General features: G+C 35.1%; 1 long non-coding RNA gene across 1 annotated transcript in view; it reads right to left on the minus strand.

The window, feature by feature from the left end:
* LOC105369677 (uncharacterized) overlaps positions 1-24,999 on the minus strand; it is a 200,713-nt gene that overhangs the window by 27,163 nt on the left and 148,551 nt on the right. The window contains exon 5 of the long non-coding RNA XR_931397.3: positions 22,770-22,958. This is a non-coding gene — a long non-coding RNA (uncharacterized LOC105369677). The remainder of the gene's footprint in view (positions 1-22,769; positions 22,959-24,999) is intronic.

Below are 24,999 nucleotides of genomic sequence, written 5' to 3' on the forward strand. Positions count from 1 at the left end.
CTATATATACATGCTGTATACGTAGATAGAAAGACACAAAAAAAGATGCACGTAAAAGGATAGACAAAGATATTTCATGCAAATAGCAACCAAAAGGAGTATGGGTGGCTATATAATTAATGAACAAAATAGAATTTGAGTCAAAAATTTACAAGAGTTAGGGAAGGATATTATATATTGGTAAAGGTTCAGTCATCCATGAGATATAACATTACAAACGCATACTCATCTAACAACAGACCCTCAAAATATATAAAAAAAAAAAATTGACAGAATTGGAAGAGGACAAAAAGAAATGGAAAGAAAACCAGTGTTCATAGATTAGAAGAATCATTATTGTTAAAATGTCCACACTACCCAAAGTAATCTACAGATTCAATGCATTTTCTATGAAAATTCCAAGGGCAATTTTTGCAGAAATAGCAAAAAAAAAAAAAAAAAAAAAAAAAAAAAAAATCCTAAAATTTGTATGGAACTCCGAAAAACCCCAAATAGCCAAAGTAATCTTAAACAAGAAGAGCAAAGCTGGAGGCATCACACTTCCTATTTTCAAACGACATTATAAAACTATACTAATCAAAACAGTATGATAATGGCATAAAAACAGAAACAGACCAATGGAACATAAAACCACACATGTGACCAATTAATTTTCAAAAGCAGCACCAAGAAACACAATGGGCCAAGGATAGTCTTTTCAACAAATGGTGTTGGGAAAATTGGATATCAAAATGAAAAAAAAACCTCAATCCTTATCTTTTACATATACAAAAATCAATGCAACATGAATTAAAGACTTAAACATAAGACCTACAACCATACAATTTCTAGAAGAAAACAAAGTGGCAAATTTCCATGGTGTTGGTCCTGGCAATGAGTTTTTGGATATGACACCAAAAACACAAGCAATAAAAGCAAAAATAAATAAGTGGGACTACATCAAACTAAACATCTTCTTCACAGCCAACGAAGCAATAATCAAAATAAAAAGACAAAGCATGCAATTGGAGAAAATATTTGCAAACCATGTAGCTGATAAGGGAATAATATCCAAAATGTATAAGGAAACCATACCACTCAATAGTAAAAATAATAGTAATAATAATGTTAACCTTATTAATCAATGGGCCAACGACCAAAATAGATATTTTCCCAGAGACTTACCAATGTCAAACAGATATATTAAAGGCACTCAACATCAGCAATCATCAGAATAACACAAATAAAAGCCACAGTGTGATAGCCACTTATAATTGTTGGGAGGGCTATTATCAAAATGTCAAAAGATAGCAAGTGTTGGCCAGGATGTGAAGAAAGGGGAATCCTTATACATTGTTGAAGGAAATGTAAATTGGTATAGTCATTATGAAAAACAGTGAGGTTTCTCAATGAATTAAAAATAGAATTATCATATGATTCAGCAATCCCACTTCTGAATATATATCTAAAAGAAATAAAGGTATTATATCAAAGAGATATCTGCACTCTCATGTTCATTGTATCACTATTCACAATAGCCAGGATTTGGAAACAATTTAACTGTCTACCAACAGATGAATAGATAAAGAAAATATACATACATATTATATATGTAATGGACTACTATTTATTTTTTAAAAAGAAAAATTCCATCATTTGTGGCACTATGAAAGAACTTGGAAGACATCAAGCTAATTTAAATAAGCTAGAAACAGAAAGACAAATGCTGCATGATGTCGCTTATATGTGGAACCTAGAAAAGGTGAACTCATGGGAACAGAGAGAAGAAAGGTGGTTGACAGGGCAGGGAAAATGGGGAGATGTTTGTCAAAGGCAATGACAATAGGAATAAGTTCTGGAGACAGAACTTGTACCTCAATAAAGCTGAAAAAATGACAGGATTGAAAAGAGAAACATACAGTTCTATAATAATAGTTGGACACTTCAATAATTCATTTTAAATGACAAATAGAAAAACTAGACAGAATTGTAACAAAAAATAGAAGACTTGAAAAACAGTATAAGGCAATTAGATCTAATAGACATATAAAGAACAGTCCACCCAACAACAGCGGAATATACATTCTTTTCAAGTGGATATGGAACTTTCTCTAATATCAGCCATATCTTAGTCCACAAAATATCTCCTAATCTTTTTAAAAAGTCTGAATTTAAACAAAATATAATTTACAACCACAATGGAAGAAACATATCAATAAAGAATGAGAACTGGAAAATTCACAAATATGTGGAAATTAAACAGTACACTCTTCAACTACCAGTGAATGCAAGAATAAATCACAAGGGAAATTAGAGAATTGCTTGTGACAAATGAAAATAAAAACGCAAGATAACAAAACTTATTGAATGCAGTGAAATCAGATCTCAGAGAAAAATGTATAAACAACCTCATTAACAAAACCTCAAATCAACAACCTCACTCTATAATTTAAGGAAGCAGAAAAAACAGAGAAAATGAAATCCAAAGCTAACAGAAGGAAAAAAATGATAAAGACTAGAGCATAAATCAGTAAAATAGAAGGTTGAAAAACAATAGAGGAAATATATATAGCTAACAATTATTTAAAAAGATCAAACCTTTCACTATATTGACTTAGCAAAAGATAGAAGACTCTCATTATAAAATCATAAATGAAAGTGGACACATTACTACCAACTTTACAGAAATGAAAAAGGTTTATAGGAGAATACTGTGAACAACTGTATACCAACAAATTAGGTACCCTGGATGAAATGGACAAATTTCTAGAAAGACACAAACTACCAAAATGACTCCAGAAGAAATAGAAGATCTAAGAAGACCTATAACAAACAAGGAGATTGAATCAGTAATTAAAAACAATTCAACAAAGAAAGATTTATGACCAAATAGCCACATTAACTGGTGAGTCTACCGAGCATTTAAAGAATAATTATTAGTATTTTTTCTCAAACCCTTCCAACAAAACATATGAAGAAGGAATACTTGTTAATTCATTCTTTGATAACAGCATTACCCTGATACCAAAGCCAAAGACAGTTAAAAAAAAAAAGAAAGCTATGACCCAATATCCCTTATAATTATATACGCAAAAAATCTCAGCAAGTACTAGCAAAATACTAGCAGCAATACTGTATAATCAAAGGATTGTATACTGTCAGCAAGTAAGATTTATCCTAAAAATGTGAGGGTGTTTCAACATATTAAAAAATCAATCAATGTAATATACCACAATAGTAAAATGGAGAACCATATGAGATCCTAGGAAGTAGTCCTCACATATATGGTCAATGACTTTTCAACAAAAGGGCCAAGACCATTTAATGGAGGAAAGAACAATGTCTTCAATAAATAATGCCAGGAGAGCTGGGTATGCACATGCACAGAGTGAAGTTAGACCCCTACCTTGCATTATGTAAAAATATTAACTCAAAATTAATAAAATACTTAAAGACTAGAACTATGTATCTCTTAGAAGAAAATACACAGACAAATCTTTATGACCTTTGATTTTTAAATGATTTTTGAGATATGACACAAAAGCACAGATAGCAAAAGAAAAAATATGTAAATAAGATTTAATCAAAATCAAAAACTTTTATGCATCAAAAGACACCATCAAGAGAATGAAAAGACAATGTGAGAAAATATTTGCAAAACATATATCTGGATAAAGGCTTAATATCTAGAATATATGGTGAACTCCTGCAACTCCTGCAACTTCTGCAACTTTTTGTATAACGACAAAAGCCTAAAATTCCAAGTAAAAATAGGCAAAAGACTTGAACAGATATTTCTCTAAAAAAGATATACAAATGGCCAATAAGGACAAGAAAAGATGCTAAACTCAATTATTCATTAATAAAATGCAAATCAAAATCAAAATGAGATACCACTTTGCATCTAGTACTGTGGCTATCATAACAACCGTGAAACAGAAAATGTGTTGGTATGGGTGTGGAGAAATTGGAACGCTCATGAATTGGCTGCTGGGAATATAAAATGATGCAGTTGCTGTGGGAAACATTTGGTGGTTCCTCACAAAATTAGACATAATTCTAACCTTCCGCTGGAATTTCCAGAAATTCCACTCCTAAATATTATGCCCCCTCCCAAAAAAAAAGTTGACAGTAGGGTCTGGAACAGATATTTTTACACCAAAGTTCATTGCAGCATTACTCACCATAGTTAAAAGACAGAAACAATCTGTGTCCATTAGCAAGTGAATGGATAAACAAAATATGGTGCATGTATATAATAGAATATTATCGAGCCATTAAAGGGAATAAAGTTCTGATACATGTTACAACCTGGATAAAACTTGAAAACATGTTGCTAAGTAAGCCAGACACAAAAGGACAAATACTGTATGATTCCATGCATTAGTCTGTTCTCACACTGCTAATAAAGACATGACCCCAACTATGTAACTTATAAAGGAAAGAGGTTTAATAGATTCACAGTTCCACATGGCTGGGGAGACCTCACCATCATGGCAGAGGGCTGATGAGGAGCAAAGTCAAGTCTTACGTAGCCGCAGGCAAGAGAGCTTGTGCGGGAGAACTCATATTTATAAAACCATCAGATCTCATGAGACTTATTCACTACCAGGACAACAGTATGGGGGAAACTGCCCCATGATTCAATTATCTCCACCTGTCCCTGCTCTTGACACATGGGGTTTATTAAAATTCAAAGTGAGATTTGGGTGGGGACACAGCCAAAAAAAAAATCATTCCACTTATATGAAATATCTAGAACAGGCAAATTTCTGAAGACAGAACATAGATTAGTGTTTACCAGAGACTGGGGAGAGGAAGGAATGGTGAGTTATTGCTTCATGGGTACTTCGTTTCTGTTTGTGATGACAAGAAACTTCTGGAAATAGAGATGATGGTTGTACAACACTATGAATGTACTTAATGCTACTGAATTGTGTAAAGTTGTTGAAATTTTAATACCATAAAAAATTTAAAATATGAGATATTCTTATATTTTCTAATAATTATTCTTATATCCATGGTTATTTAAAAGTTCTTTGCTTAATTGCCTAATAGTAAGGTTTTTCTGCACATAATTTTATTACTGATTTTTAATTTATTTCTGTATTGGTCAGAGTACAAACTCTGTATGGTTTAAATCCTTTTATATTTATTGAGAATTATTTTATGGTCCAGTATTTGCTCCATCTTGATTAATGTTCCATGGCCACTTGAAAAGTAGATTTGATTATTGCCACCTTTAGTCTTTTGATGTCTCTTTCACACATTTTGAAGTTTCATTATGCGCACCCCTTTAAGACTGTTAATTTTCTGAACTGACCCTACTTTTCTGTTTGTTTGTTTGTTTTTTGAGATGGAGTTTCCCTCAGTCGTCCAGGCTGAACTGCAGTGGCGCGATCTCGGCTCACTGCAAGCTCCGCCTCCCGGGTTCACGCCATTCTCCTGCCTCAGCCTCTCGAGTAGCTGGGACTACAGGCGCCCGCCACCACGCCCGGCTAATTTTTTTGTATTTTTAGTAGAAACGGGGTTTCACCACGTTAGCCAGGATGGTCTCGATCTCCTGACCTCGTGATTCGCCTGCCTCGGCCTCCCAAAGTGTTGGGATTACAGGCGTGAGCCACCGCGCCCGGCCTGAACTGACCCTATTTTGATTATGACTTGACACCGTTATCTTTAGTAGTAGTACTCGTAGTTTAAAGACCACTTTATCTAATATTAATATGCACACACAGACTGTTTTAGGATTAGTATTAGTATGGCACATTTATATCCACACTTTTGCTTAAATGTTGTGTCTATCTCCAAAGTGTGTTTCTTGTGAACAGCATAGTGTTGGGTCTTGTTGGTTTGTTTATTTATTTATTTAATCTCATCTGAAAATCTGTACTTCTTAAAAAAATTTATTTTATCTTATTTTACTTTAAGTTCCGGGATACATGTGCAGAACACGTAGGTTTGTTACATACGTATACATATGCCTTGGTTGTTTGCTGTACCCATCATCTAGGTTTTAAACCTCACCTGCATTAGGTATTTGTCCTAATGCTCTCCCTCTCCTTGCTCCCCACCTCCCGACAGGCCCCAGTGTGTGTTGTACCCCTCCCTGTGTCCATGTGTTTTCATTGTTCAGCTCCCACTTATGAGTAAGAACATATGGTGTTTGGTTTTCTGTTCCTGTGTTAGTTTGCTGAGGATGATGGCTTCCAGCTTCATCGATGTCCCTGCAAAGGACATGATCTCATTCTTTTTCATGGCTGCATAGTATTCCTGGTGTATATATAACATATTTTCTTTATCCAGTCTACCATTGGTGGGCATTTGAGTTGGTTCCATGTCTCTGCTATTGTAAATAGTGCTGCAATAAACATACATGTGCATGTGTCATTATAGTAGAATGATTTATATTCCTTTGGGTATATACCCAGTAATGAGATTGCTGGGTCAAATGGTATTTCTGGTTCTAGATCCTTGAGGAATCACCACACTATCTTCCACAATGGTTGAACTAATTTACATTTCCACCAACAGGGTAAAAGTGTTCCTATTTCTCCACAGCCTTGCCAGCACCTATTGTTTCTTGACTTTTTAATAATTGCCATTCTGACTGGTGTGAGATTGTATCTCATTGTGGTTTTGATTTGCATTTCTCTAATGGTCAGTGATGATGAGCTTTCTTTCATATATTTGTTGGCCACATAAATGTCTTCTTTTGAGAAGTGTCCGTTCATATCTTTTGCCCACTTTTTGATGGGGTTGTCTGTTTTTTCTTGTAAATTTGTTTAAGTTTCTTGTAGATTCTTAATATTAGACCTTTGTCAGATGTGTAGATTACAAAAATTTTCTCCCATTCTGTAGGTTGTCTGTTCACTTTGATGTTACTTTCTTTTGCTGTGCAGAAACTCTTCAGTTTAATTAGATCTCATTTGTCAATTTTGGCTTTTGTTGTCATTGCTTTTGGAGTTTTTGTCATGAAGTCTTTGCCCACGCATATGTCCTGGATGGTATTGCCTAGGTTTTCTTCTAGGGTTTGTATGGTTTCCAGTTCTTCTATATTTTTTATGTATTAGAAACAAGATCTTGCTCTGTCACACAGTCTGGGGTGCAGTGGCATGATCATATCTACTGGTCTTAAGGGATCCTCTCACATTGGCCTCCTGAGTAGCTGGGACTGCAGGCACATGCCACTGTGCCCAGCTAATTTTTAATTTTTAAAAAAATATTTGCAGAGATGTGATCTCACTACCCATCTCTTGCCAAGGCTGGTCTTAAACTCCTGGTGGCAAGTCATCCTCCACCCTCATGCTCCCAGAGTGCTGGGATTACAGGTGTGAGCCACCAAGCCCAGGCCCTTTTATACTTAATGTAACTTTTTATACTTTTATACTTAATGTGGTTGTTGAGATGATTAGGTTTCAGTGTACCCTATTGCTATTTGTTTTATGTTTGTTTCTGTTTCTTTTTTTCTCTAGTTTTTCTTTAGTGTGATTGTTTTTTAATATTGTGTTTTATCTCTTCTACTGGCTTTTTAACTATACCTCTTTGTTTTAATTTTTAAATTGTTAGTTGCAAGATTACAATATGTATCTTTATCACAGTATACCTTGAGTTAATATTTTAACATTTTTGTTCAGGTAAGAACCTAAAAATGGCATAATCCCAATAATTCTCCTCTGTCTATTATGCTAGTTTTGTCACATATATTTTTTCCAGCACGTTTGTTGTAAGTAATCAGGAATTAGTGTTGAATTTTGTGAAAATTCTTTTACAAGTCTTTCAAGATGATTCTAGGGATTTTCTACTTTATTTTATTTATATGATGTACTATGTTCATTGGGTTTCAGATAATAAACCAAATTTGCATTACTAGGATTAAATCTAGAGAGTTATGATGTATTACAATTATAGATATTGTTGGATTTAATTTGCTTCCATTTTGTTAAACATTTGCATTTATAGTTATGAGAGAGATTGTTTGGCACTTTTTTCTTCTGATGTCTCCATCTTGCTTTTATACCAAGCTAATACTGGCCCTCTAAAATGCTTTGGCATATGTTCTATTCTCTATTTGCTGAAAATGTTTGTGTATGACTCACATACTTTATTCTTTAAATGTTTGATGGAATTCACAGGTTAAGCCATCTGGTACTATGCTCTTCTTCATGGGAATATATTTAATTACTAATTCCATTGTTTTTACTTTATATAGATCTACTAAGATTTCCTATTTGTAAGTCAATTTTGCTACTTAATAACTTCCTAGGAATTTGATTATTTCATTTCTGTTTTTAAACTTGTTAATGTAAGTTGTTCATTACATTACCTTGAATTCTTTTTATATTTCTGTTCAATCTGTTGTGAGGTTCTATCTTTCATTCCTGAGAGTAAAAATCTGTGTCTTCTCTTTTTCATCTTGATGATTCTAGTAAAATATTTGCAAATTTTATTGATTATTTCAAATATACAACTATGAGTTCTATTGTTTTCTCTATTCGTTTTGTTTCCTGTTTCATTAATTATTGTTCTGATTGTTATTATTTCTTCTCTTCTATTTCCTTGCTTCCTTTTTTTAGTTTCTTAAGTTCAAAGGTAAATAATTGATTTGAGACTTTCTTTTCTAGTAAAACATTTGAATCTATAAGTTTCTCTCCAAACATTATTTTAGCTTCTTTTCATATATTTTGATTTATTCTGTTATTATTTTCCATGTACTTAAGTTATTTTCTAATTTCCCTTGTGATTTGTTGTTGGAAAAATGGATGATTCAGAGCTATTTTGTTTAATATTTGTTCTGTTTAATTTTTCAACACATATATAGACATATCTATTATTTTAGACTGGGTTTTCTGATACAAATATTAGATGTTTTGTTTTGAAGATGAAACAAAGGGCAGCATGGGTAAGAAAAAAGAGAACTAAGGGTGGCTAGAAAGGGGAGACAATAGTTATTACTTTATAAGAAGCCACGAAACTATAGTGAATTAGTTAGAAGGAATATCTGCTTGAAATGAAACACTTCCAGGTGAGCCAAAAATAGATACCCAGCCTCAGAGTAGATTATGGAGAGAGGAATTTATTTCTTCAGCTTCCTTCTGTCTTCTTTTCCCCCGACAAAGCATTCCCCAGAGGGCATTAACTCCCTCATACCTCCAGACTGTATCATTTTGCCCCTTTAATGGTGAGATGGAATGCCAGAGCCCCATGTCAGCTGTGGGTTCCTAGTGGAGGAAAGAGCTGGAGTCTCTGGGCAATCACTGCTGGACCTGGCTATGTATCAGAGGCTATATTCCTAAGACAGCTTACTGGTTGTCACAGCAGCAGAGCTATTTGGGCCTGAACAAGGTACCACAGGTTATGACTGGTGGCTATGGCAGAGTAGGTGGCCAAGGATACATGAGACAGGTAGCATCAAAGAAAATAGAGCTGTTGAGTGAGATCTGTGTTAGATCTACATATATACCGATTGATATATAATTATCTATTTAGAAAATTATTGAGAAAGATCCACAGAAGAAGATTAAACTTTGGGAATATTACAGCAAGAGCAGGAGAAAGGGCTTTTACTGCTTTACATGATTTTTAGTAATGATATTATGGGAAATTAAAAAAATTAGTGTATATTTTGGAAAAATTAAAAATAATCGTCACATTAAATAAATTATTGTATATCCCTATGATGAACTCTAGATACATCTTGAAAAAGTTTAATTATATAAAAAAGCATTGTGCCCATGATATATTGAGTTAAAAAAATATTAAATAGTATACAGGCATACCTCATTTTAATGTGCTTTGTAGATGCTGAGTGTTTTACAAATCGAAGTTTTCTAGAAACTCTGCATTGAACAAGTCTCTTGGAACCAACTTTTCAACAGCATGTATGCACCTGATGGCTTTGTGTCACATTTTGGTAATTCTCACAATATTTCAAATTTTTCATTATTATATTTGTTACAGTGATCTGTAATTAGTGATTTTTGATGTCATTACTGTAATTGTTTGGGGGTACCATGATCTGTGCCCATGTAAGACAGCCCATGTAAGGCTTAGTTGCTAAGTGTTGTGTGTCTTCTGCCTGCTACACTGACTAGCCATTCTTCTCGTTCATCTGTCTCCCTCCCTCAGCCTCCCTATTTCCAGACACACAACAATTTTAACCTTAGGCCAATTAATACCACTAAAATGGCCTCTAAGTATTCAAATAAAAGAAAGAGTTGCATTTCTTTCATTTTAAGTCAAAAGCTGGAAATGATTAAGCTTAGTGAGGCAGGCATGTCAAAAACTGAGACAGGCTTAAAGGTAGGCTTCTTGCACCAAACAGTTAGCTAAGCTATGAATGCAAAAGAAAAGTTCCTGAAAAAAATTGAAAGTGCTACCCCAGTGAATGAACAAATGATAAGAAAGTAAAACAGTCTTATTGCTGTTATGGAGAAAGTTTTAGTTGTCTGGATAGATCAAACAAGCCATAATACTTCCTTAAGCCAAAGCCTAATCCAGAGCAAGGCCCTAACTCTCTTCAATTCTGTAAAGGCTAAGAGAGGTAAGGAAGCTACAGAAGAAAGTTTGAAGTTAGCAGAGGTTGGTTCATGAGGTTTAAGGAAAAAGTCACCTCCATAACAAAGAAGTGCAAGGTGATGCGGAAAGAGCCGATGTAGAAGTTGCAGCAAATTATCTTGATCTAGCTAAGATCACTGAGGAAGGCGACTACACCAAATGACAGATTTTCAATGTAGCCCAAACAGCCTTGTATTGGAATAAGATCACTCCTATGACTTTCATAGCTGAGAGGAGAAGTCAATAACTGGTTTCATAGTTTCAAAGCACAGACTGACTCTCTTATTAGGCAGTATTGCAGTTGAAGACTTTAAGTTGAAGCCAGTACTCATTTACCATTCAGGAAAACCTATGACCCTCAAGGAATGATGTTAAATCTACTCTGCCTATGCTCTATAAACAGGACAATGAAGCCTGATGATAGCATATCCATTTACAGCATGGTTTACTGAATATTTTGAGCCCACTGTTGAGATCTACCACTCAGAAAAGAAAGATTCATTTCAAAATATTACTGTTCATTGATAATGTACCTAGTTACCCAAGAGCTGTGATGGAGATGTTCAAGGAGATTAGTATTGTTTCACGCCTGCTAACACAATATCCATTCTACAGCCCATGGATCAACAAGTAAATTTGACTTTCAGGTTGTATTATTTAATAAATAAATTTCAAGTATTTGATAGCATAACACGGTGACTACACTCAATAATAACTGAATTGTACATTTTAAAATAACAGAGTATAATTGGATTGTTTGTAATACGAAGGATAAATGCTTGAGGAAATGAATACTCCATTCTTCATGATGTGATTATTACGCATTGCATGCCTGTATCAAAACATCTCATGAACTCCATAAATATATACACCAACTATATACCCACAAAAATTAAAAAGAAAGAAAGAAAGAAAGAAGAAAGAAAGAAAGAAAGAAAGAAAGAAAGAAAGAAAGAAAGAAGAGTAGGTTATAAGTCTATAGCTGCCATAGTTAGTGATTCCTCAGATAGATCTGGCAAAGCAAATTGAAAAATTTCTAGAAAGAATTTACTGTTCTAGATGTGTTTAAGAACATTTGTAATTTGCTAGGCATCATGGCTCATGCCTGTAATCCCCTCACTTAGGGTGTCTGAGACAGAAGGATCACTTGAGCCCAGGAGTTTGAGATTAGCCCTGGCAACATAGTGAGACCCCATCTCTACAAATAACATTTGTGATACATGGAAGGAGGTCAAAATATCAACATTAATAGGATTTTGGATGAAATTGTTTCCAACCCTCAAGGATGATTTTGAGGGATTCAAGACTGTTTTACTCTTTATTTACTTATATATTTATTTAATTTTCAACTTTTAAGTTCAGGGGTACATGTACAGGATGTGCAGGTTTGTTACATAGTTAAATGTGTGCCATGGTGGTTTGCTGCATGGATCATCCCATCACCTAGGTATTAACATCAGCATCCCTTAGCTATTCTTCCTGATGTTCTCCCTCCTCCCACCTCCCCACCCCCTGACAGGCCCCAGTGTGTATTATTCCCCATCATGTGTCCATGTGTTTTCAACACTTAGCTCCCCCTTACAAGTGAGAATACGCAGTATTTAGTTTTTTGTTTCTGTGTTAGTTTGCTGAGGATAATGACTTCCAGCTTGATCCATGTCCCTACAAAGGACACAATCTCATTCCTTTTTATGGCTGCATAGTATTCCATGGTATATATGTATCACATTTTCTTTATTTAGTCTATCATTGATGGGCATTTAGCTTGATTCCATGTCTTTGCTATTGTGAATAGTGCTGCTATGAAAATAGGCATGCATGCATTTTATAACAGAATGAAATACAAATCCAAATCACAATGAGATACCATCTTACACCAGTCAGAATGGCTATTATTCAAAACTCATAAAACTACAGATGCTGGTGAGGTTGTGGAGGAAAAGGAACACTTTTACACTGTTGCTGGGAGTGTAAATTAGTTCAGCCACATAAAGACAATGTGGTGATTCCTCAAAAACCTAGAGGCAGAATTACCATTCAACCCAGCAATCCCATTACTGGGTATATACCCAAAGGGACTGAAGACTTTATTTGAAGAAAGAACTGCTGATGTGGTAGAAATGGCAAGAGAACTAGAATTAGCAGTGGAGCCTTAAGTTGTGACTGAATTGCTGCAATATCATAATAAAATTTTAATGGATAGGAGTTATTTTGTATGGATGAGCAAAGAAAATGTTTTTTTTTTTTGAGATGGAAGCTACTCTTGGTGAAGATGCTATTAACATTGTTGAGATGACAACAAAGGATTTAGAATATTACATAAATTTAGTTAATGAAGCAGTGGCAGGGTGTGATAGGATTAACCCCAACTTTGAATGAAATTCTACTGTGGGGTAAAATGCTATCAAACAGCACTGCATGCTACAGAGAAATCTTTCATTATGAGATGTCAGTCAATGCAGCAAACCTCATTGTTGTCTTATTTTAAGAAATTGCCACAGCCACTCCAACCTTTAGCAACCACCACCCCGATTAGTAAGCAGCCATTAAAATTGAGGCAAGATCCTCCGCCAACAAAAAGGTTATGACTTGCTGAACGTTCAGATGATTGTTAGCATTTTTAGCAATAAAGTATGTTTAACGAAGTTATGTACATTGAATTTTAGACATAATACTATTGCACACTTAATATATTATAGTATAGTGTAAACATAATTTTTATATGTGTAGGAAACCAAAAAGCCTGTGTGACTCAATTTATTGCAATATTCACTTTACTGTCGTGGTTTGGGACTGAACCCACAATATTTCTGAAGTATGCCTGTATAAAGAAAATAATTGAGAACGTATTAGATGTTTAAAGTTTTTAAATAGAAATTTTCATAAATATCCTCTGTTAGTGTTTGACCATGTGAATAAATTGATTAGAATGTACAAAGAGAAAAAAATAGTATAAAAGGAATAAGGGAAAATACCTAATATACGTGACACCAAATGTATAGCTATCATAAGTGAAATAGATTACAGAGAAATAATGTATATGAAAAAGACTTGCGGAAGAGCAGTGGTTTTGGACACTGACAAATACAAATTTTGAGTCATGCCATTGCTCTTCTGGAGTTAATCCTGCTTAGGATCTCGTTTTCTTGCCTGTTAATAATAATAATAATAATAAAACTCGGTATATCACAGGACACCTATTATGGTGAATAAGAAGAATATATTTTAAGTGCTTTGGATAAATTGAAGGGATAAGGATGTAAAAATAAAGGAGAGAGAAAATTTAAACAACTTTGTTTGATGGTGGAAAATGAAGGAAATTTGTTTACACTACTCTTGTCTTCTCCCATTTTAATGTCTTTATTGTTTTGGTAATTGGTTAGTTACTAGCACTCTCCAGAAACTCAAAGAAGAGTTCCAGGATTCAAAGCTAAGCCTCGATATTTACAAAGGTAATGAGTCTGTCAGCCATGGGAAGTCAAGTGCTCTTACTGTTTGGTATTGCTCACCTCAATCCTAACCTAAAGGGACACCTTTCTTGGGGGATAACAGTTCATTTGTCTTCATGCTAACTCTATCAAGGAATTTTCCTGTGCAGAAAACAGCTAGTTTCACTAAGCTCTGTATGTGTGGTGTTTTTTATGTAGTGCACTGACAGCCAGTAACCGAACCTAATCCGTCAAACTCATTTCACCTAAGACCTCAAGTATAACTCCAATTCTGATCCTTAAGGTAAAGGTGTCACTGAAGTACTTAGTTCCTGAACTTTTGTTTTTGAACACATAGTACTCTGGGGGTTGGTGTAGGAGACGTGTTATTTCTCTTGTACTGAGAAATAAGTCATTATTTTTGGATGTTGCATTTAAAAATATTACGTTTGCCCTGTAATTTGCTTATAATAGCTGCAATCTTTTTCAAGCAGCCATTGATGGAGTTGTTCTTTTGTACCAGTAGGTTTGCAGTTTAGTAAACTGTGTGGTTTTAATTTTTTTAATTAATGCAAATGAATCTTTTGGAAATACTACATTATTCCTGGTAAGATAAAAATCAGGTATTTTAATTTTGTCTACATTTCAGAAATTAATAAAGAATTTGGATTATAGCATTGATCTTTAAAAAAAAATTCAACACTTTTAATTGTGCCATGTATTTTTAAAGCATTTTCTTGTGGAATAGATGTATTTTAATGTATCTCAAAATTATTTCTGCCAGCTATTTAATATTTCTCATGATTGAGAGGGCACTAAAACAGGCATTTCAGAGCTATTTCTGCTCCACAAAATGTCTGCCCTTTGTTTACTCATGTGTTTGTTGGACAATTTCGTGTTTTCTGGAGAACAGGGACCACTTACAGGTAAAAAAAGACATTTAGTGATATTTGCTCTGTAGATACGTACTGTGAAACGGCTAAAAAAAATGGGTAAGAAACCATCAAAACCAAAGATTATGTCTACCAGTAAGTTAGCAGAGCTTACTCTGTTGTTAACGATCCTACTTCAGTAAGATCCTACTTCAGAGTTTTACTTAAGTAAAACTCCTGTGGTATAACTGACTACTATTTCATGTGGAGGAGTTAATAATAACTTAGAAAATAAATTTAAGACGTTTGGCCAGTGTGTATTTTTTTTTTCAGTTTCAGTTTAATTTTTTTCTTTTATTATTATACTTTAAGTTTTAGGGTACATGTGCACATTGTGCAGGTTAGTTACATATGTATACATGTGCCATGCTGGCGCACTGCACCCACTAACTCATCATCTAGTATTAGGTATATCTCCCAATGCTATCCCTCCCCCCTCCCCCCACCCCACAGCAGTCCCCAGAGTGTGATGTTCCCCTTCCTGTGTCCATGTGATCTCATTGTTCAATTCTCACCTATACATTTTATTACCATAGAATGTTTACTTCTATTAGTTTTACCTTTAATATTCAGAACTACGTGATGGATCAACTTTGACCTTCAAAAATTAGTCTAATATCGCTTTGGAAAAATGAGAGAAGCAAACATTCCTGGATTCAAATAACTTTTGGAATTTTATTTAAAAAAAGACATGATTGTTAACTAGCATAAGTCATGTTTATAAAATGCTGTCTATTTAAATTTCTTGGATCTTTAAGGGAAACAAGTTATTTTATTTAACATTTATGCAAGAAGAGAGTATTCTTATTTCCTGATAATGCTTAAATCTCTAAAAAACTGAATTTTAAATGGGTGTCAAAACTTTGGCATAACGTTTATAAGAGAAGTAATTTATAAGACAGTAATATTTGAACATAGTCATAAATTTTTTAAGCAAGTTGCATTATGATTATTACCCCATCATTACATTTCAATTAGAATCTATTTAAATATCATTGATATAATTTGGAAATAAGTATTTGCAGCCAGTCAGATTTGAATTACGAACATGTAAATACATTCTGGTATTTCTAAATTTAAGTCTCTCTTTTAAAGTAGGCTTAAAGATAATAAAAGCATATATAACTTTTTTTTTCCAATTTGTGAGTCAAGTTGGAAAATGGCAGGGGTTTATTTTAAGTAAATATTCACTGTCTAATGAAACACATGAGATTAAAGCATCAAAAATCTGTGGACACAATTATTTACTTTTGGGGCTCAAAAGATCATAACATTGCAATTCAGCCTTAGCAAGGATGATGGAAAAAGTTCTTACTATGTTAAATGCCTTGGAAACTTTCCCCAAATCATAAACTCAGTACAGTATTTTTATCTTAAATACATAACATTTAAATACCATATCTACAATTATCGTTCTCTCCCATTGCCCCTGAGCAACTCCATCTTATTGCACTGATCTCTGCATTACAAGAGAATAAAAGCACCTGCCTCTCTAAATAAATACACTCAGGCTTTGGTTCCTTGGTGGCTCATCAAGGGAGTTCAAAGATAAACAATTCAATCAATTGCTTGTTTTTTTCTTTATTATAAGAAAATATCGGTTTAAATGATTTTTTACAGATGAACAGAATATTATTTTGATTGAACACACAAGTTATTTTGGCATCATGTTAAACCTAGCCTCAGGGTTGCTTACTTAAAAATAAATCTGCACTTTTCAACTCTTCCTCAGGATACTAGTCTTCTAATCGGCAGATTTCAGATTGTTTTCCCTATTTTTCTTTTTCATTATAATTTTGCCTGGGTAGTTATAGTCTCAACTTTCACTTCTAATCAGCCTTATTCACAAACTGACTAAATAATCTACTAAGATGTTGTGAAGACATGAGGAAAAGATACCATTGGCTCAAAGTATCTTGTTTACCCCTAGCTATAGACCTCTTGTTTCTCATTCACAAATTCCTCTTTGTGGGTCAAAGCCTCTGAGAACTATTTGTTATCAGGTACATACATGTGGGAATTTAGTTTACTTCAATAAACATGTGTTGAGAGCTGTGGGGAAGGAAAGAATGACACAGATTCTGCCCTTAAAGAGCTCACAATGTAATGAGGAAGGCAAATCTTTAAATGGAAATTTAAATATTTGCATATGTACTAAGGGAACACAGAGGAAACTCACTGTATTAGTCCGTTTTCACACTGCTTTAAATAAATACCAATGCCTGGGTAATTTATAAAGGAAAAAGATTTCATTGACTTACAGTTCTGCATTGCTGGGGAGGCCTCAGGAAACTTATAATCATGGCGGAAGACCAAGCAGAAAGAAAGCTTCTTCACATGGTGGCAAGAGAGAGAAGAGTGAATGAGCAAAGGGGTAAGAGCCCTTATAAAACCGTTAGATCTTGTGAGAACTCACTCACTATCATGAGAACAGCATGGGGAAAACCGCCCCCATGATCCAATCACCTTCCACCAGGTCCTGCCCTTAACAAGTGGGGATTTGAGATGAGATTTGGGTGGGAACCAAAACCATATCAACCACTTACTGTAATCTGGGGCTGGGGACAGCCCTGGGGAAGACAGTAGATGATATGACCATTATCTGGGCTCTTAAAGGGTGAGCACATGCTAGCCTGGTATCAGAGTATGTGTGTGTGTGTGTGTGTGTGTGTGTGTGTGTGTGTGTTGTCTGTATGTGTGTGTGTATGTGTGTTTATGTGTGTGTCTGTGCACATGCATGTGTGTGTTGGGGGCATGGAGAATGGGCCAATGGATGGTAGGGAGATGAAAGACATTTCAGCCAAGTCCATGTAACTTATATTAACATGTTTAAAAAGGCATGGAAATAATATTGTGTACAAGGGATTGAATTCAAAAGTCACTCGGGGATAAGAAGAAAGTAGTGAGAAAAGAAACTAGATAAGTAGATGTGGTCAGGGCATAACAGGCTTTATATTCCATCCTAAGGATCATGGCCTTTATTCTGTAGGTGGTAGAGTAACATTAAAGCAGAATAATGACAAGGTTAGGTCTACAGTTCAGAGTAGTCATTTTAGCAAAAGCTCAGAGGAATGGACTTCAAAGAGGGCAAGTCTGCAATGTGGCAGGTAACGGGTAGGAGGCTATGGCAACAGTGCAGCCTTGATTAAGGGCAGCGGTAAAATGTAAGGAGAGAAGATGACATATTTGAGAGCAAAAAAAGCTATCCATGCCTTTTATTCCCACCATTAACCTTTTATATTAGAGGAGCACAGGACATGGAGAAGGAGACCCATGTGCATGTGATGGAGTAGTGCTGAAGATTAAATGAGTTAATACACATGATCAGTACTATAAAAGTGTTTGCTATTATTATTATTGGGGGCAAGGGAGAGTAAAACTCAGAATGATTTACTGACCTTAACATACAGGCATCAGTGGAAAGCTGCACTTATGGTCTAGATCCTGGGGACATGGATCTTTTAGAGAGTCATGAACAGAGAAGATAAGGCATGCAAAAGGGAGAGTCTCAGTAGCTGCTGACAAATGGAAACTATGAGAGAGTCTCAGTAGCTGTAGACAAATGGAAACTACCTTTCAAGCTGTATCAATGCATCAAGGGGACACAACGGAAGTAGGGAGTGCTCTGAGTCACTTCATGCAGAAAAAAGGGAGATGTTTGGATTAACCACAGCTTCTGCTGTCCCTTAAATAGCAGTAGGATGCATTCAGAATCCCCTGAAAATAAGTGTCATTGCATTCTCTTTTATGCTACCATCCTAGAAAGTACACTAGGAAGATGCAAAAGCATTTGGATAGAAATCCACAGAAGTGACACATGTACATTCCATCAGCATTTTTGCTTTGCTCAAGGATTTTTGTTGGACCTAAAAAAACTCTGATCTGTTTGGAAAGAGGATTTGCATTTGCAAATAGATTTACAGGCAGATCCAACAAGCAGCACTTTGCCATTTGCAAATCCACTTGAAACATCTGGGTTCCTGTCTAGCCCTAAAATTCTTATATAAATGGACAACCCTAAGATCATAGTTTGGACACGATTTTTTAAAAATCAAGATAAATGCTAAGTAATTTGCATAATTTGTTGGTTTCGAAAGCACAACCTATTTTGTTAACAAAATAAAAGAACAAAGAGAAACTAACCTTTTTCTGTTAAAGGAGAATTAAATAAGTGAAATCAATAAACAACAATAAAAGCACTTTGACTTTGTTAACTGGAGAAAGGCTGTGTGACATTTCTGTGAAACAAGCTTGTTAATAAGGGTTTTAATTTAGACTGAAATTCTACCTATTCTCCTAATGGTAAAATACATTTTTTAAAAAAATTGTATCAATGACTTATTTATTGTGGATCTGAAAATATATCCTAATTGTGACTTTTTTTATATAAAAAGGAAACTAGTGAGGCTCTTCTCTAGTATAAAAAAGTATTATAATATAGACAATATAAGATTTAGTCAGGCTAAATTTATACTGTACCAGTAGACTATAAGAATTCCATTAATGCTCCATTGATATCATCAATGAAGAAAAAGGCAAAATGGATGCATTGCTTCTGCTCCACTGGGTCTGTAATGAAGCAGCATTATAGCAGCTGCTGTCTTTTTAAACAGCTTTGCTTTTTTTCCCAAGGCATCACTTGGTATATTGCAAGATTCTCCAGAAAAATATCTTTTGACCTTGTGGCCCTTTCTTTTTATTATTTTTTTTCCAAGAACCATGGCCTTCCATTTGCCACTGTGGTGCTATGCTGTAATTTAAAACGTACAATGGAAATTTCAAATAAAAAGGAAGAGTTTGAGATAGGTACTTCCAAAGGCATCTGTGGCAGTGAATCCTAATATTTCAGGAATCTCGGCCATTAGAAACTCTCACAGCCTTTAGTGATATGATGGAGAACCTGCTAAAGGAATGGAAATCTCAATCATTCTTTCCTTTACTTGATTAAGAAAATATATACAAAGCTCTCTACAAAGGTACAATTAATATTTTGTCAAACTATAAAACCATAGTGCTGAGCTAGAATCCCATCCAATTAACCTGTTTGTTTCAGCTGTTGGCATGACATGACACTGGTTGTCACTGCCAAATCATTCATGCAGCAATTCACTTTCATTGCTAAGGTGGCCTAAATGAACAGCCAGGTCTATTGAAGTTAGTTCATTCTCTCTCTGTGTGTGTGTGTGTGTGTGTATGTGTTTCTGTGTGTGTGTGTGTGTGTGCATATGTCTGTGTGATTTGACAGCTTCTATAAACCCACCTGAAAGAATAGAATAGAAGATATTTCAAGGCTAAAACTTTTAAATGATGAAACTTAAACTTTTGAAATTATGTTGCCCTGGGCATCCGTATTAATAAGAGGGGCAATATATGCAAAGAAGCACAAGAAAAATATAAAGAATGCAGTAAATTCACTGAAAATAAGAAATTATTGAATAATGATAATACTTGAGCTACCTTTCTAAATTCTACAAGGTGAAGTTCTGGGTTTCCTACAATCTAAAAATATCTGACACTCTGTAGATATTCAAAACACATTATCATTGTTTTCCAACCAGAATTGCCCTGAATTCCAAAATTTCCCATTAATTGCTTATGGAATATTACTCTTAGATGATCTAGCTCAGAATTAAGACATCCAATAATAGGCTGGGCATGGTGGCCCATACCTGTAATCCCAGCACTTTGGGAGGCTGAGGTAGGTGACTTGCTTGAGCTCAGGACTTTGAAACCAGCCTGGGCAACATGACGAGATCCTGTCTCTACAAATTAGCTGGACATGGTGGTGTGCACTTGTAGTCCAGCTGCTGGGGATGCTGGGGTTGCAGTGAGCCAAGATCACACCACTGCACTCCAGTTTGGGCAAACAGTGACCCTGTCTCAAAAAAAAAAAAATCTCCAATAATAATTCTTACTCTTGCATTTACTTATGCACTAAAACTCCTGCCTCTCTTCATCTGAACTCTGCCAACAGATATATATTTTTTTCAGTGAATGGTACCACCATTTATCTACTGCTGACAATAGCCACTTGGATGCCATCCTGGATTTATTCTCCATACTCTACTGCAAATCAAGTCATTTTGACCTAGTAATTTTCCATCTGATATAGCTCTCAATTCCATTCATTATTCCTCACCATCCTGGCACCCCTTAAGTTTAGACTTTCAGTGTTTTTCCCTTTGGTTACTGATTATTTCATTTGATTATATTTCAAAAGTTTACCTTTTTTGGTCTTCTTCATTTCTTTCTAATTTATTCTGTACACAATTATCAATGATCTTTCCAAAATTTCACACTAGTATGTCACTCATCTATTTTAAAGGTATCAATGGTTTACCAGCTCATTAAATATAAAATCTGAACTCTTTAGCTTACGCAAGGCCCTTCCTGATCTGCCTTCTTATGCCTTTGCAGTATTACCTTTCCCTGTATCCTTATTGGATCCTTACCAAACTACTTGCAGTTCCTCAAACGTTCCATACTTTTTCTTGCCTCTTTCCATTTATATGTACTATTTCCTCTACATAGAATGTTATCTTCCTTTTCCCCATGATCAATTTCAACATTTCACTTAACACAGTGAGATGAACACTCCATAGAGGAGTGTTCCCAGATCTCCATGCTATGAATTTTGGTTTCTCTATAACAGCTAGTGTATACCTTCAGCACAGCACTCATAATATTATAATATGATGCCCATTGTACTCATTTCTTCCAGCATGATGTGAGCTTTTTGATAGTGAGGATTGTGTCTTAAATCTTTGTCTTCAACAGCAATTTTATGCTTGACTTGAATTCATTCATTCAGCAAATACTGATTAAGTAGTTATTATTTGTAAGGAATTCTTCCAGTCATTGGAATGAGCAAATCAAAGCTCCTACTTTGTAGGCTGAATTTTGTCTTCCAAAGCTCAAGTAAGCTTACCTGGTTGGCAATACCCCATACATATTGTCAAAAATCATTTCTGGGAGAAGACAGTGTTGTTCAAGATACACTGGGAGAGGACGCTGGAAAATCTGCATGTGGAGCTCTCGAATATGCCTTATGTACCTCTTCCCTTGATTAATTTTAATCTGTACTCTTTCACTGCAATAAACTGTAACCATGAGTATAATAATTTCCATCAGTTCTGCTAGTCATTTTAGCAAATCATTGGTTTTTGGGAAACCCCGACCTTGCAGGTCTTGTCAGAGAGAGTGGGCATGGGAACTCTCTAACTTTTCAGGGGCTAAGAAACGTGGGGCAAGTAAATATTGGTGAACATTACTGTGTGTGCCACTGTCCTCCACAATCTATTTTCCAACTACCAGCTAGAGAAATTCTCTAAAAAGTACGTCATTTTACCTTTCTGCTCAAACCTCTCCAATGATTTTTCAGTTTATAGGATAAAAACCAGATTTGTTAACGTGGATTACAAAGGACATATATAATACAGTCTTTTGCAAACTGCCTGATCTCAGAGCCAACTATTTTTCCTGGCAAGATAACAGCTACAGCCCAACTGGCTTTCCTTGACTATTTTAAGCATGTATCTGTCTTAGGAATTTTGAACTTGTTATTCCCTTTGCCCTTAATATTCTTTTCACTCTTTTCCCCATGTGTCATTTACCGAATACTCTCTTCAGTACCTCCTTCTCTAATGTGCTCCTTAAATTCCCATAGTGATTTTCATAGGGCCATCCCCCACATAGGCATCCCTTTTCTAATGCAGTTTTCCATTGCCCATCTGCCTGACCATATGGCCAAACCACTGGCTACCACTCATGGGTCAGTAAAGGCCCAAACATAGTGGACTTTTATCACCATTCAATTCTTTCATCACAGCAAGGAAAACGGTATGCAAATAAACTCATTGAACTGGTTTGTTCTTACCTTCTTCAATCAGTCATTTCATATGCTGGTCTTAGTGCAGCAGTCTTCCAAATAGGATGCTGTGTTTCCACCTTGAAAATGCCATCTATAAACGAAGCATCTTTTTGTTGGTCAACAGAGAGCTGTTCATAGGGCACTGTCCATGTGACCATAGGATGTGTCAGTTACTCATGTGGTTCCAAGTCAGACCTATGGGAAAAAAGGCTCAATAATTACCATCCTGCATTCCCTCAGTAACATGTTTCTGCACAAACCATACTTATTTTATTATGAAACTCTTCTGGACACTACCCTCTTTATAAAAACGTTTCTTCATCATCTCCCAAGACATTGTGGGTGTTTCAGATTTCAAGATTATCTTATGTCCTTCAGTCATAGGAACAGTTTCAATTAATACCCAACAGAGACCCAGGAATTTGTTCCACAAGCACCTGTATTGCATAAATATTCAATTATAAGAAAGAGGAAAATGGTTTTTGGGAAGAAAAAAAAATAAAAGACTGCACCCAGGCAGAGGAGTCTAAGAAGGCTTTCTTAGGAAATTTAAATCTATGCTAATGTCAGATTATTTTAGCCAAATGAAGAAGAGTGTTTCAGCCAGAAAAAAATATGATGTGCAGAGGCCCTGAGTTGAGAAAAAGCCTGGCACATTTAAAGACCTAAATAAGAGCTCTAGGAGAGTGAATGTGGGCCAGAGGTTTTAAGACCTTAATTCTTATTGCTATATTTTTTAATATCAGCAACTTTATGTGTATGATAATCAATTCAAAAATATATATATTGTGACAGAGAGAGAAAAATTAGACAGTAGATACCTGTGAATAGGATGAAATGTTATTTCCTAGATGTTACTTATCTTCTCCATAGCAGACATATTTCTATGTAACCCCTATCAGAGAGGTACAGAGATGAGGGAATTTTGCAAGACCAAGGTTATTTCAGTTTCTCCTGGTTGGCATGACTCAAGAAACTTTGTGGAATCTGAGAGATGCTTTCTTTTTCAAATTTGAAGCTGAGGAGCATCTTCCAAAGGTGTTTCTTGTAGGGCAAAGAAGAACTTAAGACTGCATTGTGATACAAAGTCCATCAAATGGGTTTGTTGCTTCTACTTTTAGTTTGAAATACCATGAGAATGAAGATACAAGGGAAAAAATAAGCCATAAAGGAAAAGATATTAGGTAACCTTCAACTTTGCAAATCTTGTCTTCTCTTTAGCTCCAGCTATTACAATTATCATCAATCAAAATGAGTTGTCAGTGAAAAAGAAGATTATCACCATTTAAACCAATCTGATAAACATATTATATAATAGATACTAGGTTAAGTACCATACCTGAAACAAAGAGTTCCTAAAATTATAGCCTTGAAAATGTATACTCCTGGGCATGGTTACCTCGGCAGTCCATGGGTGTTTTTCACTTATAATCTAAGAAGCCTGATTTCCCTAATCCAATTATTTAATTAATTATACATTCTTAAATTGGTTCAACCATTGTGGAAAACAATGTGGCGATTCCTCAAAGACCTAAGAACAGAACTACCATTTAATCCAGCGATCCCATTACTGGGTATACCCAAAGGAATATACCCATAGAATTAACCTAAATGCCCATCAGTGGTAGACTGGATAAAGATAATGTAGTACATATACACCATGGAAGACAGCCATAAAAAGAACAAGATCACGTCCTTGGTAGAAACATGGATAGAGCTGGAAGCCATTATCCTTAGCAGACTAATACAGAAACAGAAAACCAAATACCACATGTTCTCACTTATAAGTGGGAGAAAATGTTGAGAATACGTGGACACATAGAGGAGAACAACAGATATTGAGGCCTACTGGGTGGAGGGTGGGAGGAGGGAGGGTATCAGGAAAAATAACTAAGAGGTACTAGGTTTAATACCTGGGTGCTAAAATAATCTGTACAACAAATGCCCATGACACAAGTTTACCTATGTAACAAACCTGCGCATATGTCCCTGAACTTAAAATAAAAGTAAAATATTAATTACACATTCTTATTTCCATTCTAACTAGTTAATACACGTGTGACATGTATATTATATTCTTACATCATTTCCCTTAAAAGTAGAAATAGTGCTAAAATAAAAAGAAAAAAGATGGTATTATCCACCTAAAAATAAAAAAATATACAGCAGTGTGAGGTTCGGAAAGGGAGAGAATACAAAATTGCTGTTTTTAGATGTATTATAGTAAATTGGCAAG

Source organism: Homo sapiens, chromosome 12 (genome assembly GCF_000001405.40).
Source record: "Homo sapiens chromosome 12, GRCh38.p14 Primary Assembly".
Taxonomy (NCBI): Eukaryota; Metazoa; Chordata; class Mammalia; order Primates; family Hominidae; genus Homo; species Homo sapiens.